This window comes from Homo sapiens, chromosome 7 (genome assembly GCF_000001405.40).
Source record: "Homo sapiens chromosome 7, GRCh38.p14 Primary Assembly".
Taxonomy (NCBI): Eukaryota; Metazoa; Chordata; class Mammalia; order Primates; family Hominidae; genus Homo; species Homo sapiens.
This window is the reverse complement of record NC_000007.14, coordinates 126,503,575-126,518,997: the sequence shown is the minus strand read 5'-3', so window position 1 is coordinate 126,518,997 and position 15,423 is coordinate 126,503,575. Positions and strand designations below refer to the sequence as shown.

The 15,423-nt window shown below is 35.4% G+C and overlaps 1 protein-coding gene, 1 long non-coding RNA gene and 1 pseudogene across 25 annotated transcripts in view; 1 reads left to right on the top strand and 2 right to left on the bottom strand.

Moving 5' to 3' along the window:
* Positions 1-15,423, top strand: part of GRM8 (glutamate metabotropic receptor 8) — an 814,344-nt gene that overhangs the window by 733,944 nt on the left and 64,977 nt on the right. The gene's annotated exons all lie outside the window — the stretch shown is intronic.
* Positions 1-15,423, bottom strand: part of LOC101928357 (uncharacterized) — a 41,965-nt gene that overhangs the window by 18,279 nt on the left and 8,263 nt on the right. The window contains exon 2 of the long non-coding RNA XR_927937.3: positions 3,186-3,343. This is a non-coding gene — a long non-coding RNA (uncharacterized LOC101928357). The remainder of the gene's footprint in view (positions 1-3,185; positions 3,344-15,423) is intronic.
* On the bottom strand, positions 6,202-7,860 carry LOC100422325 (poly(A) binding protein cytoplasmic 4 pseudogene; annotated as a pseudogene).

The following is a 15,423-nucleotide window of genomic DNA, read 5'->3' as shown; positions in this document are numbered from 1 at the left end:
GAGTTAAAGTTAAAAGTAAAGGAAATGATTGGCCTGGTAGACAAGAAATTGAGATTCTTTTCTCATTAACATATCTGTGGACTTGATTAAGGAAGTTATCTTCTCTGAATCTTGTCCTCTTACCTCAAGTAAGATGAGAACTTGACTAGGTAGTCTCTAAGGGTCTGTTTAATTCTAAGATGCTCTTATTTTAGAAAAAAAAATGCCAGCTACATAAGAAATGGTCAACTACTCAGAGGCATGACCTAATTTTTAAGCAAATGCACATGAAGATTATTATGCATATTCAGTGAGAGATGCAAATTAATGCAGGAAGCATTTTAGAAGATAAATATACTTAAGGTGGATTATTGGTCTCATAAACCTTAATCAATTGCATTCACATCAACATAGCATGATACAAACGTATGATCCAGAATCCGAATTACTTTTCCCAAGAGCCCTATGGGGTATCTATTGATAACCATATGTTTATGTTTTATGAGCTATCTTAGGCAGAAAGAGAAAAAGGATGCCCAGTACTCAGTACTTTACATTAATTTATAAATTTCTTGCTCTCTATTTGCAAAAATAAAAGTATAGCCCACAGCAGATACCTCTCAGTATATCAGATTTTGCTAGTTGAACATTACCTAACTTTTCTGTGGCACATTCTACTCATCATTACTTCTTGTTTGTCATTCAAAATGTTTTTCCTCTTATGGAAATACATAAGCCACAAGCTGGAAGACTGATGTGACCCCAGAAAAGTTATTGTGTAAAGTAATCTCTTATTAGAAACTCATTTTTTATTTCGCTTCACATTAGCGAGTTCCTTATCCTCTTCTACCACGTTTTCCTCATACTGCCAGTTAATGTAGTATCATAAATTGCTCTGCCTCAATGGCTAAAAAAGAGGGAAGGACATTGTGTCTACTAAGCAGTCCTGTCATGACAAATTGTAAAGTGTTGGTGACAAGAACCAGTTAAGTTCCCTTTTATGTCTTTTTCTCTTGACTCTTCCTATGGAACCTAAGAAAAAGCCAACACTTTAAAGTACTTTTGTAATTGGGAACAAGAAAAGCTGTAATTTTCTTAAAAATAAATTCATGATAGTTTAAGACTTAATTCAAATATGGAAACCATATAGGTGACGAGTTCTCTTCCTTTGGTTGAAAATCCTATGGGGCAATCTATCTAAAATAATTATTTCCCTTAGACTTGAAACCTTCAAAAGCAGGTGCTTTTCTCCAGAATCTTAATTCCCCAAACTCTTATGCCATTATCCAGGAGCTCTATGAAGATATTAGTGCAAGTTGAAATAAGTTTTGATTATTTTGAAAAATAAAGGCCATATTCACAACACACATAATATTTTATATAATCAATTTTAACTGATCACAATGTGTGATAGTTACAAACTTTACACTGTTTAACATAACAACTTGAGCAATTAAATCACATTCAGTTTAATTGCATGGAGGCAGCATGGTATAGTGTTTATAAGCATGGATGTAGAGACTGGATGCTTGACACAAATTGTGGTTTGGGCATGTACTAAGTGACGTGGCATATATTCCCACTCTAAGCCTCAGCTCGTGTCTGTAAAATGGGGATAAAAACAATGCTCAGCACACAGGATTGGTTTGAGTATTGACTAAGACTCCTGCTTCTTCTTACTCGTTTGTTGGTAAGTGAGATGACGAGTCTTCATTTGCCATACTGACCAACCTAAATCCCTTTGGCATTCTCTAAACTCTGCTGTCCCTACTTTTTTGCTGATGCATTTGGTCACTTGAGAAATGTTAAGTTTATATTCTTGTTATGTAAATCTGCAGTAACTATAGTACCTATAAGCATTGTACTCTTCTGGTGTAAAACTGGCCCTAAACAGACACAAAATGTTTCATATTTTCATGTGATTTAATGGAATTGAGCCCAATTATTTAATATCAATTACTAAATTGTTTTGTATTTAAAGTAAAATTATTTTTATGACCGTAATATGACTAAGTAGAAAGAGATATGTTATAACATGATTTGTTTATAAGACTTTTTTTTCTATTCTCCACACTCTAATAACATAGTCTGTCAAGAAATCTTTAAATATGTGTTTTTTTAAAAGAATTCATATATTTGCAGTATTTGATTAAAAAGCATAAACAATTTATTTTCTGGAGCAAAACAACCATAGTTGAAATTAACTTTGAGATATCTTAAATATCTTAGATAAAGTAAGATATATACAAGTAACAGTATTTTCTATTTGGTCCACTTATACTATGAATTCCTAAATCATGGCTTATTTCTCAAATTGCCTCCCATGTTCTCTTTCTTAGAATATTACACTAATTTAAAGTGGTGCCATGTAATCAGGTATTATACCAAAGGGCTCTCTTTCTTGCTGCTATCCTACTGGAAGCATACTTTCTGTCAGGAAATCATAGATGCTTGCTTAGTTTAATTTCATGCAATAGCAGCATGCTTCTTTCTGATTTCTGTTGGCCAAATATTTATTTTGAGTCATTTAAAATTCTGAAAAAAAATACCTTCTGCTTCTATTTGAAACCATTCCAACATCAACTGCAGTTGTATTTGGGTCTCAGTTCTCCATAAGAGGTCTTAACAGATGATCCCACAAATTCTTTTTCAGTTCTACAGAGGAACAATGTTCAGGGTTTCCTAGGATAGGGTTGCTAGACTTATTAAATAGAAATGCAGATGTTATGTTAAATTTTAATTTCAGATAAACAATGGATAATTATTTTGTGTAAATGTGTCATACAAAGTGGCATCCTAAAATATAATTATCTGAAATTAAAATGTAACTGGATGTCCTGTATTTTATCCAGCAACTGTATTCTAGGTTGATGAGAGTAGATTGATAAGATGAATCATAAACAACAAACAAAAAGTTGGAATACTGAAATACTTGCTATAAGAATTTAATAAAATTCTACAAATACATTTAAGGCATAAAAACATTAATCATACAAATATTGCTTAAATTAGAATAAAATATATAAAGTAGACCAGTGTTCCTTGAATAGATGGCATAAAATTCAACAGTAAATAGTTGTGTTAAGCAGAATAAGGGCCTCCCAAAGATGTGAACATTCTAATCACCAGAACCTGTGAATATAATATATTAAATGTCAAAAAGGAATTAAAGTAATAGATGGAATCAAGGCTGCTAATCAACTGACCTTAAAATAAGGAGGTTATCCTAAATTATCCGGTTGTGTCTCAGATATGGAAGAGGGAGGCAGAAGAGTCAGTAGTGCGACCTGAGAAAGACTCAACTTGTCATTGCTGGCTTTGAAGATGGAAGGGGCCATGAGCCAAGGAATGCAGAAAACAGCCTCTAAAAGATGAAAAAGGTGAGAACACAGGTTCCGCTCTAAGGCCTCCAAAAGCAATGCAATCTTGCTGCTAATTTGATTTTAGCCAAGTGAGACCCATTTGGAGCCAAGTTTTGACTCCAAAACTGCAGGGCAGTGACTTTGTGTTGTTTTAGGCTGCTGAGTTTCTGGTAATTTTGTTATAACAGCAATAGGAAACTTATACAGTAAGTAAATACTGTGTACATTATTGATTTAGATGACTTTTTGTATAATTTTCTACTGTTTTTAGACATGACATACAATCCCTTAAGATTATCTTATAATAATAATGATGATTTTAAAAATGTGTTTAATCTTAAACATTTTTCAAAGGATATGAATGTACAATTTGAAACATGGCATATTAAGCTGATATACTATGCATTAAGCATCCTAATTCACATTTGATCATGTGTATAGTAAATGAAGATATATAACTTTGAAGAAAATTTGCAAACCAATTTCAATTATGATATATGATGAAATTAAGATATAGCCATTGCAAAAACAAAAGAACAAAATCCAAAATACAAGTCAAATGAAAGTTGTATATTTTACATACCCCCCAACACACACATTTATATCAGATACTCGTGTGATAAATATGGGAGACCTTCATATAATAATTTTAAAGAAACAAATAGATTATAAGGATTGCAATATGTAATTATAATAATTTAGTAAGTGTACTATTGCTAGTACAATACAAGTTGAGTTTGCTAGCTCATTTTTAAACTCTAGAAATAAATTCCTATCAAACATTCAATGTAATACTAAAAAATTCTTAGAATTTGGTTGATACAGAAATATTAACCCCTCCAAATAATATTTAGAATTTTAATTAGTACAATGAGAATGGTAATGAACAATGCCTAGAGATATACATTTTTATCTAAAATGTATTATCTAAATATATATTCTTATTCATCTCTATATACAGTTTTTATTTAATTTTATAAGCATTGATATTTTCTTGGGTGTAAAATGTTTTAAAGTCATATTCAAAGTTCCTCTTGCCGTGTGTTATCTTCCTGTATTCCTGATCTTATATAGTTTTGCATTCTCTGTCCTCAAGGTGTTGAGTAAAAGCTTAGAGAAAGAGAAGAATACACATGCTAATGCATACTTTGACCACAGTTATACAAAGATCATTTCATAAATATTCACCCATTTTTCTGATAGTAAAACAGTTTCATGGAATTTGTGAGTTGTAAAACAGGGATTTAAATGCAAGTTTGGTTTTGAAGCCTAATGTCTCCAAAGTCCAAATTGTTTAAGCCATACCCACTGCTTCATTTTAAGCATTCACTACAGCTTTATTGAACTAGGCTCCTATAAAACCACATAGAAATTGGATGCATCGTCCTTCACATGGAGTAATATCAGATTTCTTGTTGGTATCCCAATTGCAAGTCAATGAGAGAAACAAAAACAGATGGACCACAACTCCAGCATCTGCGGACTTGCTGGGGCTATTTAAGTCACTAAATGCTCATCTCCATAGGCACTGGGATACTTATTTTCCTCATCTCTGTGTTTCCTGTACCCAGCACTGTGCTTGACAATATAATAGGTAAGCAGGACATTTTATTTGAAGAAATGAACAAATGCATGATTGCACAAATGAGGCTGACTCTGTTCTCTCTACTTTGTTTCTTTTTAGAACCTGATGATTAAAATTTTGTTCTTGAAACACCTAAAAAGAACTCCGATAAAAAGCTACATGTAGGCAGTTTTCATTTATGAAGAGAGAGTAATTCAGTGTTTGGTAGTATACACCTCTGATTATAATCAATTTGGAATCAGTATTTAATCTATTTAGGCTGATGGAGAATTAATATAGACAAACAGGTCTCTAAGTCCTCCTTCTCTTACTACCCATGTTCTCAGTATTTCTAATCTCTCTTTATTTCATAACCTAAAAAACAGGTTTCACTTGACTTCAGTCCTACTTACCTAAGTATAAAAGTAAGGAGAGAGGTGATAATGAAGGGAAATGTATGCTGTGTCAACATGATGATAACAGACAGTAGAGCAACCGGAAGTGGAAAATAAGCTGACATTGTGCTGATGGTGTTAGCCAAGACTGGAAAGTGGCTATGTATACAAGTTTCTTCCAGTTGCATAGTGCAGATTTGCTAGTGCCCACTGAACTTCCTAAGAAGTCCTGGTTTAAGAAATATACTAACATTAGGTAGAGCCAGTGATGGAAATGAAAGCTATCTAGTTTAACTATCCTGAGTTTCACCAGCCTTTGGTGAAATATCCGTGTAGTGTTTGCTGTTTTTATCACTACACATGCTTGTCCTGGGATTCTTAAAAAAAAAATACCCGAAGGGTCAGGTAAGAAGACCACACACATTCATTCTAAACAATATGATCTTACTGCAGGTTTTAAAGCATATGGATTTTAGAAATTGTTTCCATGACTCTTTTTTTTTAAAAACAAGAGCTTTATTTCTTAATTGACAGACTTTGGTACAACATATTAGACCAATTTTTAAAGACTTATTTTTAAAAGCCTACAGAGAAAATAATTCCATTGTCTGAAACATACAGGTATCCAGAAAAGTGGTAATGATAGGAAAACTCTAGGCTTTTTATAGTTGACATTTTGAAACAAAAGGATATATTGGCTCTGCCATTTGTAGCTTTTGGTGTTGTGGTCCATGAAAATAATGGTCTGTCTTCAATCTATCAAGTCACAGACAATGAGCTATAATCTGGCTTTTGTTGGTGTCTGAATTTTTTCCTGCCTAAGAGATGGCCCCAGTAACAGCACCTATTTCCAGGGCAGTTCCCTTCCTGATGGAATAAAGACATTTTGGAGTGGAATAAACTCCAGCAGGTGTAGCAATTCCAAGTCATTCATCTCAGCACTATTCCCAAATCTTTCCATTCAACCTTATATGCATGGTTTGGATGGTCAGGATAAACATTTTCTTATTCTTTGATTTTGCTTTTGAAGGAGTGCTGAGGCAGCCTGGAAATGTCCAAAGCCTCTTATACCTGTGTTTCAGCTGTAGATTATGATGTCTGTGGAGTTTGTATCCCAAGCTGGGGGCATCAGGCAGAGTCACAGCCTAGGATTTGGAGCACATACTGGATGGTTCCGTTTTATACCACAGAGGGATTGATGGTGTGAGCAATAACGGGGAGGCCACAAGAGGCTGCAGCACCATTTGTTGAGAGGTCAGGTGTCGAGAGTGTGGCTCAGACTGGCATACGGCACCTTGTTAACCATGTTCTCCTACCAGGAAATATGGGATCTCATTTGAATCAGACTATCAGGGAATAATATGGAGGTCTGTTCTGAGCCTATAGGGAATCTGCACAAAGTAGCCACCAGCACAGTTAATAATGGGATTGCCTGGGAACTCTCTCTTTCCAGCCATAGCTGAATATACCAGTTGATCAGGTCAATCTTATTCTCTAACTTCCTCTGGGGAGGTATACAGTGAGTCTGGGGAGGTATACACAATGGCCAATTTTCATCCTCTCTGCTGGGGGAGAAGGGAAACAGATCTGAATTGCTATGTTTCTCTCCTCCAATACTGGTTATTAATCTATAAGCAGAAAATGCCTTTCTTAACTTTTTGTTTCCATAGAGTTATCAAGATCCTTAATTTTGAGACTCAGCTTCCTACACCGGCTAATTCTCTGCCTTTTCAGGACTTAAAAGTTTGTTTTAACTCAGTTTTCTATGTGTTCAACTTTCCTTTAGATCCAACCCCACATATGATTTTGCAACTAATTTATTTTACTTTTATTTTTTCTTTGGCCTTTTTGGCATTCTTATGAACTTTATAACTCACAGCCAAACTCTAGAGATTTCCCATTGGATCTCTCATCACTTTAACACTTAGAGTTTTACCAAATTGGCTGAAGAATTATTTCCAGCAGTAACCATACATATTTTCTCGACAGTTTTCTAAATTTACATTGGTGCATGCCTTGGCCTTTGTGCCACATTTAAATTCCCACTTTTCCTAGTACTTGTTCTGATTAACACACTGTTAACACAGTCATTCATTGAAGCACATGCTCTTCATCTCCTTGGTGGTAACTTTCCTCTGGTAACTAGCCTTATGATAACTTGCCTTCAATGGAATAAAAGACATAACCCATAGAGTCACCCTCATCACAATTGGCCTTGGAGGGAAGAATGATTTGAAAACCACAAGAGGTATATAAAATTGCCATGTTGTCTATAGATTTGTTGAGGATGTTTTTATTCTAAAATTCTCAAGGAGATGTATTGCTGAGATGATATAATTCAAATTAACTTTCCTTCAGTCATGTCAAAGTTCATTATATTTATGACTTACTCAGGCTCAGCAGCTGTTGGAATTTGATATAGGTGTAAACCAGAAGTGGTGGGTGATCATACCATAGCAGACCATAATAAACAGCACAGCCCTGAAATTTTCACTGAGCTTCGTCTTAGTGAGTCTCCCAACTACGTGAAGACCATGGGATAGCTGCTACTGGCAGTACTGATCTCCCTACAACCCACTACCTGCTTATAGATATCTCCATAGAGAAAAAGAAAAGGCAGACTTCTCAATATGTAGATGAGTATGAATTGTAAGAATATCTTCAGATGGCTTCTTACCTGTCTGCTTCACCAACACACTTTGACCATGACTATGTAAGAGCCAGGTTTGGAGGATGTGGCGCTAATGAGTCCAAGGCCACTGATTAAATCTCCATGTAGCTCTATTGCAAGCCCTCAAGCTAGTTATCTCTAAAGACTTACTTCTAATTTTGGTCAAAATATTTCACAAATATGTGCCAATGTCACATGGAGGGCAGTGAAGGAATATGTGCAGAGTACAGTGTCAGCACTGAGAGAGCTCTTAAAAGACACTGAGTCCAATTACTCACTAAAAAGTGATGCTAACCAATGCATCAGTTCAGATGATGCCTAAATGCCTCCAGTAACTAGAAGCTCTTTATCTTCCAAGCTAATGTATAACATAGTTGGCCATAAAAAATTCTAACCCTCTTCCACGTGGCAATCAATCAATTCTTTACATATTTGAGGGTAGCCACCATGGTTCTTTGAAATTTATTTTCACTTTAAACATGCTTATTTCCTTCAAAAGTCCTTCAGATATTCTGGTTTTTTCCATTTTAAATGTTCAATAAATCCCTCTTGAAATCTTTGACAAGAATGAAGCAGAGTATGCCAAGAGATATTGGACTAGCACAGGTCAGTTCTCTCAGGGAACTAGATTAGATAGATCTCTTAATGAATACTACGATCACATCACATCATCTTTTATTTGGAAGCCATATCAACTCTTAAATCATATTGAGTTCATTTTTTTTTTTTTTTTGCTAAAACCTATGTGTCTTTAAAGTGTACTTCTGCTGAGCCATGGATAGTGTCCAGTGTCATTTGTATACTTTTTTAAAGCTCATAAAATATTGCTGTATTATTTAGGGAAGAACTTAGAAGAGTCTTCTTTCTGCCAAAAGAAATGTGCAGCTATAGATTAAAAGCATGCCGCAACTTTGTGATCATGTTGGGAATACCTCATTCATATCCTTCCCAGAGGGAACTCAGTATTGCTACAGGTGCATGTCATCTGGACTTGCAGACAATTTTACCTTTCTTTCTAATAGACATCATGTGTGCATGTGTGTGTATGTGCTTAAAGCTTCCTCTTCTGGTATTGCCGGAATGACAACAATGGGAATAATTGTCCTATTTTTCAGATCTTATTTGCATCTATGAAGTTCTATTTCTCACCTGTTATCATCACAATTTTATTTTATTTATTACCTATGTCCTATGTGTAGAGGTGTCTGAGGTCATTTAGGACTTTTCCTGCCCATTTCTCCAATATTTTCTCCTAAATGTCTAGGTATCATGATGAACTGTGCAATCAGATGGTCCTGATTTCAAATTTTATCTCTATCATTTGCTAGCTCTGAGAATTTTAGCAAGATTTAAATCAATTAAGCCTCATTTTAAAAAATCTGTGTAATTGGAGGTGATAATTACCTACCTCAAAGGGATACTGGGGCATTGAATCAGATACCTTCAAGTGCCTGGGATATAGTAATCATTCACTGATTTGTAATAATACTTTTATTATTACTTTGTTTTAATGTGCTTTCTACAGTGTATTTGTCTTCATAATGTGCTCAATTTGTAATTTATTTCACAACTGAATGTGGGCTTTTATTCATCACTCCTCTCCACGTTCAATTTATTTATGTGCGTATCAGCCATTACCTGGACAAATATATAGTTTCTGAATCTCAAAAATAATGACCTTTATTGCCTCAAGTGTCTGTCTTTCTGGTGTCATAAGCCACATCCCAGAAGTCAAAATTCCACTATGTGATATTAGCTATGAAGCCAACCATTCTCTTGCAGCAATAACCTACCTATTTCGATATTTTAACCATATTGAAAATTTAACACTTTTTGGAAGAAAAAGGTGTTAAAAATGTTTATCCTAAAATATTCACTTTTCTGCCCCTGTCTTCAGAGTTCCAATATGCTTTTCAAATTTATTCTGGGCATCATTTGTCCCTCTTGCTCCCAGGAATAATTAGGAAACAGTAGCAATTAGCAAATGTAAGTGACTGCATCCAAGTATATGTTATGGAGAGACAACCTTTTTGTAAATCACCTGGGTCAGATCTGTGTAGAACCACTCCTGGTGATGCCCTCCATTTATAATTACGTTGGTACTTGCAAACACAGTTGCTGTCTGACATGGATCTACTAACAGTACTGATTTATGAAGTGTGACAGAGCTTCATATATTTTATGCCATTCTAGGATTGAAAAGTTCCTCTAAACTCTTCCTTATATACGTCATTCATTCTTCAAAACACATGCTAGATTATTTATTTGAGAGGCAACCCAGTTTTCCTAACTAATTTACCTTTCAACTCTTATTAGATGGCTGTGCTTGACAATTATAAGTATAAATGTTTGGAAGGATCATTTATAACACATTTATTGCTTCTGCTGAAATAAGCTTTTCTCTAAATATTACTGAAAAATACAACAAATAATTTTACTGCACTAAAACAAATCTCATTCATTTATTGTTGCCATGGTTGGAATGTTTGTCACCTCCAAAACTCATGTTGAGATTTAATTGCCAAAGTAACAGTATTGGGATGTGGGGCCTCATGGGAGGTGTTTAGGTCATGAGGTTCCATCCTCATGAATGGAGGAATATCATTTTTAAATGGGCTTTTAGGAATGGGCTCTCTCTTTTGTCATTCTACTTTCTACCATGTGATGACACAGCAAGAGGGCCTTTACAAGATAACAGCTCTTTGATCTTGGATTTTTCAGCCCCCCAGAACTGTGAGAAATCAATGTGTGTTTGCGTGTGTGTGTGTGTGTGTGCCAGTGTGTGTGTGTTTTGATAAATTACCCAGTCTGTGGTATTCTATTATAGCAACACAAAACAAACTGAGATAATAATATACAAAAATATAATATACAAAGGTATAAAAATGTAATTTAGGCCAGAAGCTGAAGTTGGAGGTGTAGATTACTTCTTCAATCATAATTAATGAATACTCTATGATGAGGGTTTATTGAACATCTTCACTTGTTGACGTTCTATACTTGTCCTGCCAGTGCAGGTACTTACTCATTACTTTGAGTAAAACAGTGGAAACATAGAGGGTTTCGAAATGAACAGAGGGGATGGGGAGAGAGAGAACCCAGACCCCAGAGATGATTGGACTAATAGAAATGGAGTTGTTGTTGAACAGACTGAAGTCATGGAAAACTTGGGGGAGGGCCATACAGGGAATTAGGGTTGAAGATGAGGTGTTAGGGGGTATTTAGGGCCAAGTTGCTCTAAAAGAATAGACAAGCTCGAAAAAGAAGGAATTGTTAATAAGAGCAGATGTTCCATTCAGGCCCTGGGCTGCGGACCTTCATCAAAGGGAAGTTGATACTTTAATGTTGCCAATAGTGAAAGGCAAATACAAATTAGATTTCAGAGAAAGAGAAGACTTCAGGAGTTTAGACAGAAAAAAGTACCAGTAAAGAATCAATTATTAAAGCTCTACTTTTTGCAATTTGGCAATATGGATAAATTCACCCAAAGAAATTATAATTTATTACAGGTCATAGTTATGCTAATAACAAACTCTAATTGATTGTAGATGAGAAAAATGATATATTTGTAGCCAATATTTGTTAAGTAATTACTAAGTGCCAGACACTGCTGTTCATGACACAAGTTCATCCTCACACTGACACCATAAGACGTGCTATTTTTATTCAATTTTATAAATGAGATAGATAAATTGACATCTCCAGAAAGGAGGTGATTTGCCTGAGGTCACAAAGATAGGTGAGTGACAGAGCTGGGATTTGAAGACATGCTGTCTGGCTTCTGACATCATTTCTTTATCAGAAAGCATATTGCCACAAGAAAATTACTTGCGGAAAGTAAAAGTAGGAGGACCACTTATTTGGCTGTAGGTGATTTGGAAGGCTTCATTGAGAGCCTCTTTAGATTGCCACAAGAAAGCATATTGCCACGAGAAAATTACTTGCGGAAAGTAAAAGTAGGAGGACCACTTATTTGGCTGTAGGTGATTTGGAAGGCTTCATTGAGAGCCTCTTTAGATATGCCCTCTCCTTGCATATCTGTGACATATTTTGTATGCCCTGCCTATGTAATTTACTGCATTTTATTTTACATATCAGTTTGCATCTGTGTCTTCACCCCTAGATTGTTATTTCCTTGAAGGGAAGAGTTGCCTTTCAGTTACATACATATCCTGTTGCCTAGCAGAGGAAGCACAGAGAGAGGTTGAAGAAATGTTTCTTTTTTTCTTTTTCTTTTTTTTTTCTTTTGAGACAGAGTCTTACTCTGTTGCCCAGGCTAGAGTGCACTGGTGTGATCTCAGCTCTCGGCAACCTTTGTTTCCTGGGCTCAAGTGATTCTCGTGCTTCAGCCTCTCAAGTAGCTGGGGTTACAGGTGCGCACCACCATGCCTGGCTATTATTGTATTTTTAGTGGGGAAAGGGTTTTACCATGTTGGCCAGACTGGTCTCAAACTCCTGACCTCAAGTGATCTGCCCGCCTGGGCCTCTCAAGGTGCTGGGGAGGAAATGTTTATTGAATAAATTATTGAGGCTTAAATGATGAGTATAATTTTCAGAGGTGGGAAGGGGTTTTCTGGGAAAGAATAGTCCCTTCTGGAAGTTTGCAGTCAGAATAGGCAGTAGATCTAATGTCCACATCGTGAAGGTAAGAGTTTTGTAGGGAGTACATTTGAAAGAAGCATCATAAAGTCATGTAGGGAAAACCTAAATGCTCACTGATGGATGAGTGGATAAACAAAATGTGACATATATATGTGTGTGTGTGTAGATACACGTATGTCTACACACACACACACAATCATACGTGTGTATACACATATACGCAGTGGAATTTTATCCAGCCTTAAAAAAGAAGAAAAGCCTGCCATTTGCAACAATGTTAGATGAACCTGGAGGATACTATGCTAAGTGAAATAAGCCAGACACAGAAAGACAAATACTGTATGATCTCACTTATATGTGGAATAGAAAATAGTCAGACTGAAAGAAGCAGAGAGTAGCATGGTGGTTGACAGGGGCTAGGAGGAGGAGAGGAATGGGGAGACAGGGCAAAAGATGCGAAGTTTCAGTTATGCAAGATAAGTTCTTGACCCCTAATGTACAGCATGGTGAATATAGTTAGCAACACCTATTATATACTTGAAATTTTCTAAGAGCGTAGATCTTAAGTGTTCTCACCACAGGAATAAAAAAGAGAAAATATTAAATATGTTAGGTGATGGATATGTTAATTAGCTAAATTGCGGTGATCATTTCAAAACGTATATCTATATCAAGATGTCAAGTTTTACACCTTGAATATATGCAGTTTTTATTTGACAATTATACTTCAACAAGCTGTTCTTAAAAAGCAGATTAAAACTTCTAAAAATTATATAAAGCGGGGCAGGAGACATCTAGAAAGGGCAGACTGGACCTAAGGTTTGTTTACCTCAATTTTCCTTGTTAGGACTTTATTTACCTTCAACTATGTACAGGTAAAAGTAGTTTGCAGAGCAATTGCTCCTTTCTTGCTCCATTTAGTTTGGGGAACCTCAGTTCTTGTCCTAGATTCTGAGGAGTTCTCTGGCCACCACTTGTCTGAATTAGCCTTCATTGAGTAAGGACCATTTTTAGATTGGGGATGTGTAAATGGGGGCAAAACACTTATGAATTTATACATTCTGTAAGAAATCCATGGAAAGAGCTAAAGTCTGTCTATTCGAGAAGATACTTAAGGTATTAACTTGGGGCCATTCTAATTAGTGTTCATGTTAATTAGTGGTTAGATTTATTATAAGCCTACAGAATTAAGACACTAAAGTAAATTTGGGTGTTGCAAGAAGGAACGCAGAACTGTTGTGGTTTTTATATGTCTATAAGTCTGCTTATACACCAAATCCATTTTAGTCCTAGTGAAGGTTTGCTTGCATCCGTCAATATGTAGCCTAATTGGTGACAAGAATTGCTTCTTCTGTTCACTATTCCACTTTGAACACTTGAAACTGAAGAATGACTCCAACTGTGCAATTGAAGCCCTCCATTTTTCCTTCTTGGAATGAAAAACCTCTATAACTTGGCTCCACTACCAGTTATTCATGCTTGTTAACTTGTGATTTTGATATTTTGTATTATAGTTAGTAATAAAAATTTAGTTATTTGGAAATTAGTGGGCAAGAAGCTCTTTTCCAGAGCACTGTTGTAAAATTTGGGGCACCCAATCATGATTATCCTGTGTAAACACTGGTAAATATGTTACTGGAAAAAATATTCAGGGGCAATCAATTAATGTCATATATTCATTTATTTTTATCACCAGCATATGTGATTTTAGCAGAAAAATTGAAAAATAACTGGTGCATTGATTGATTAAAGATGTAATTTTTAAAAACTTTTATTTTGGGTTCAGGGGCACATGTGCAGGTTTGTTATATAGGTAAATTGTGTGTCATGGGGGTTTGGTAGACAGATTATTTCACCACTCAGGTAATAGGCATAGTACCCAGTAGATAGGTTTTAAGTTCTCATTTTATATGTCTATTGATACATAAAAAATTAAAAGTCATCAGCAAAGTCATCAGTACACTGGCACCATACATACACATTATCACCATAAATGTAGAAAATAGGAAATAAATAAATCAGTAGAAAAAGTCCATGTTTTCAAGGAAGGACATTTTGACTTATAATAACAGATGAAACACTGAATTAATATGAGAATAGGAAACTAATAGTGAATTTTAAAATGTTTTCTTTTACATTTAATAAGGGGCTGTATCTTGTTAAAATGTAATATGCACATCTTGACTAGTCAGTCATTATAAAACATTTGATAATTATAAAGACATATGATTCTGTGAAAATAGAGTGTCTGTAAATCACGTGTACATTTCCAAAATGGCTTTTGAAAGTGTCTCACCCAGATATTATCAAACCAAACTCCATGAGAAAAATGAGATGGGCAATAAAAAGGAAAATATTAGTGAAGATAGACTGTTAGTGAAGGGGTAACAGAACAACCCCTAATTCTCAGTGGCTCGTAAGAACAGAAGTTATTTTTTGTTTGTTTTAATTCATGCAAAGACTGCGGTGAATTAGGAGACCTTCCAGAGCCACATCCTTCATGTGATCAATGGGCAATGAGAAATGCTTCCATCTGGAAGGTGAAAGCAGAGAGCTAGAGAATCAAACAGTGGCTCTTGAATGCCTCAGCCCGTAAGTGATAGATGCCACTTCTGCTCAGATGTCACTGGTGTGACCTAGCTACACAACTCCCCTGTCTACATGAGACCTGGGGAAGGAGGGCCTAATACACACTGCTATTTGGTGAGTGGCAACTATCTCTGTCATGGATGTTAACTTTATAAGAATTTTTTAATGTACAGACTATTTTAAAATTTTACTATATAATGCATATTTCTGAAGTACACATTAAGCTAAAAGATTTTAAACCTTTTTTTGTAAATATGCCAG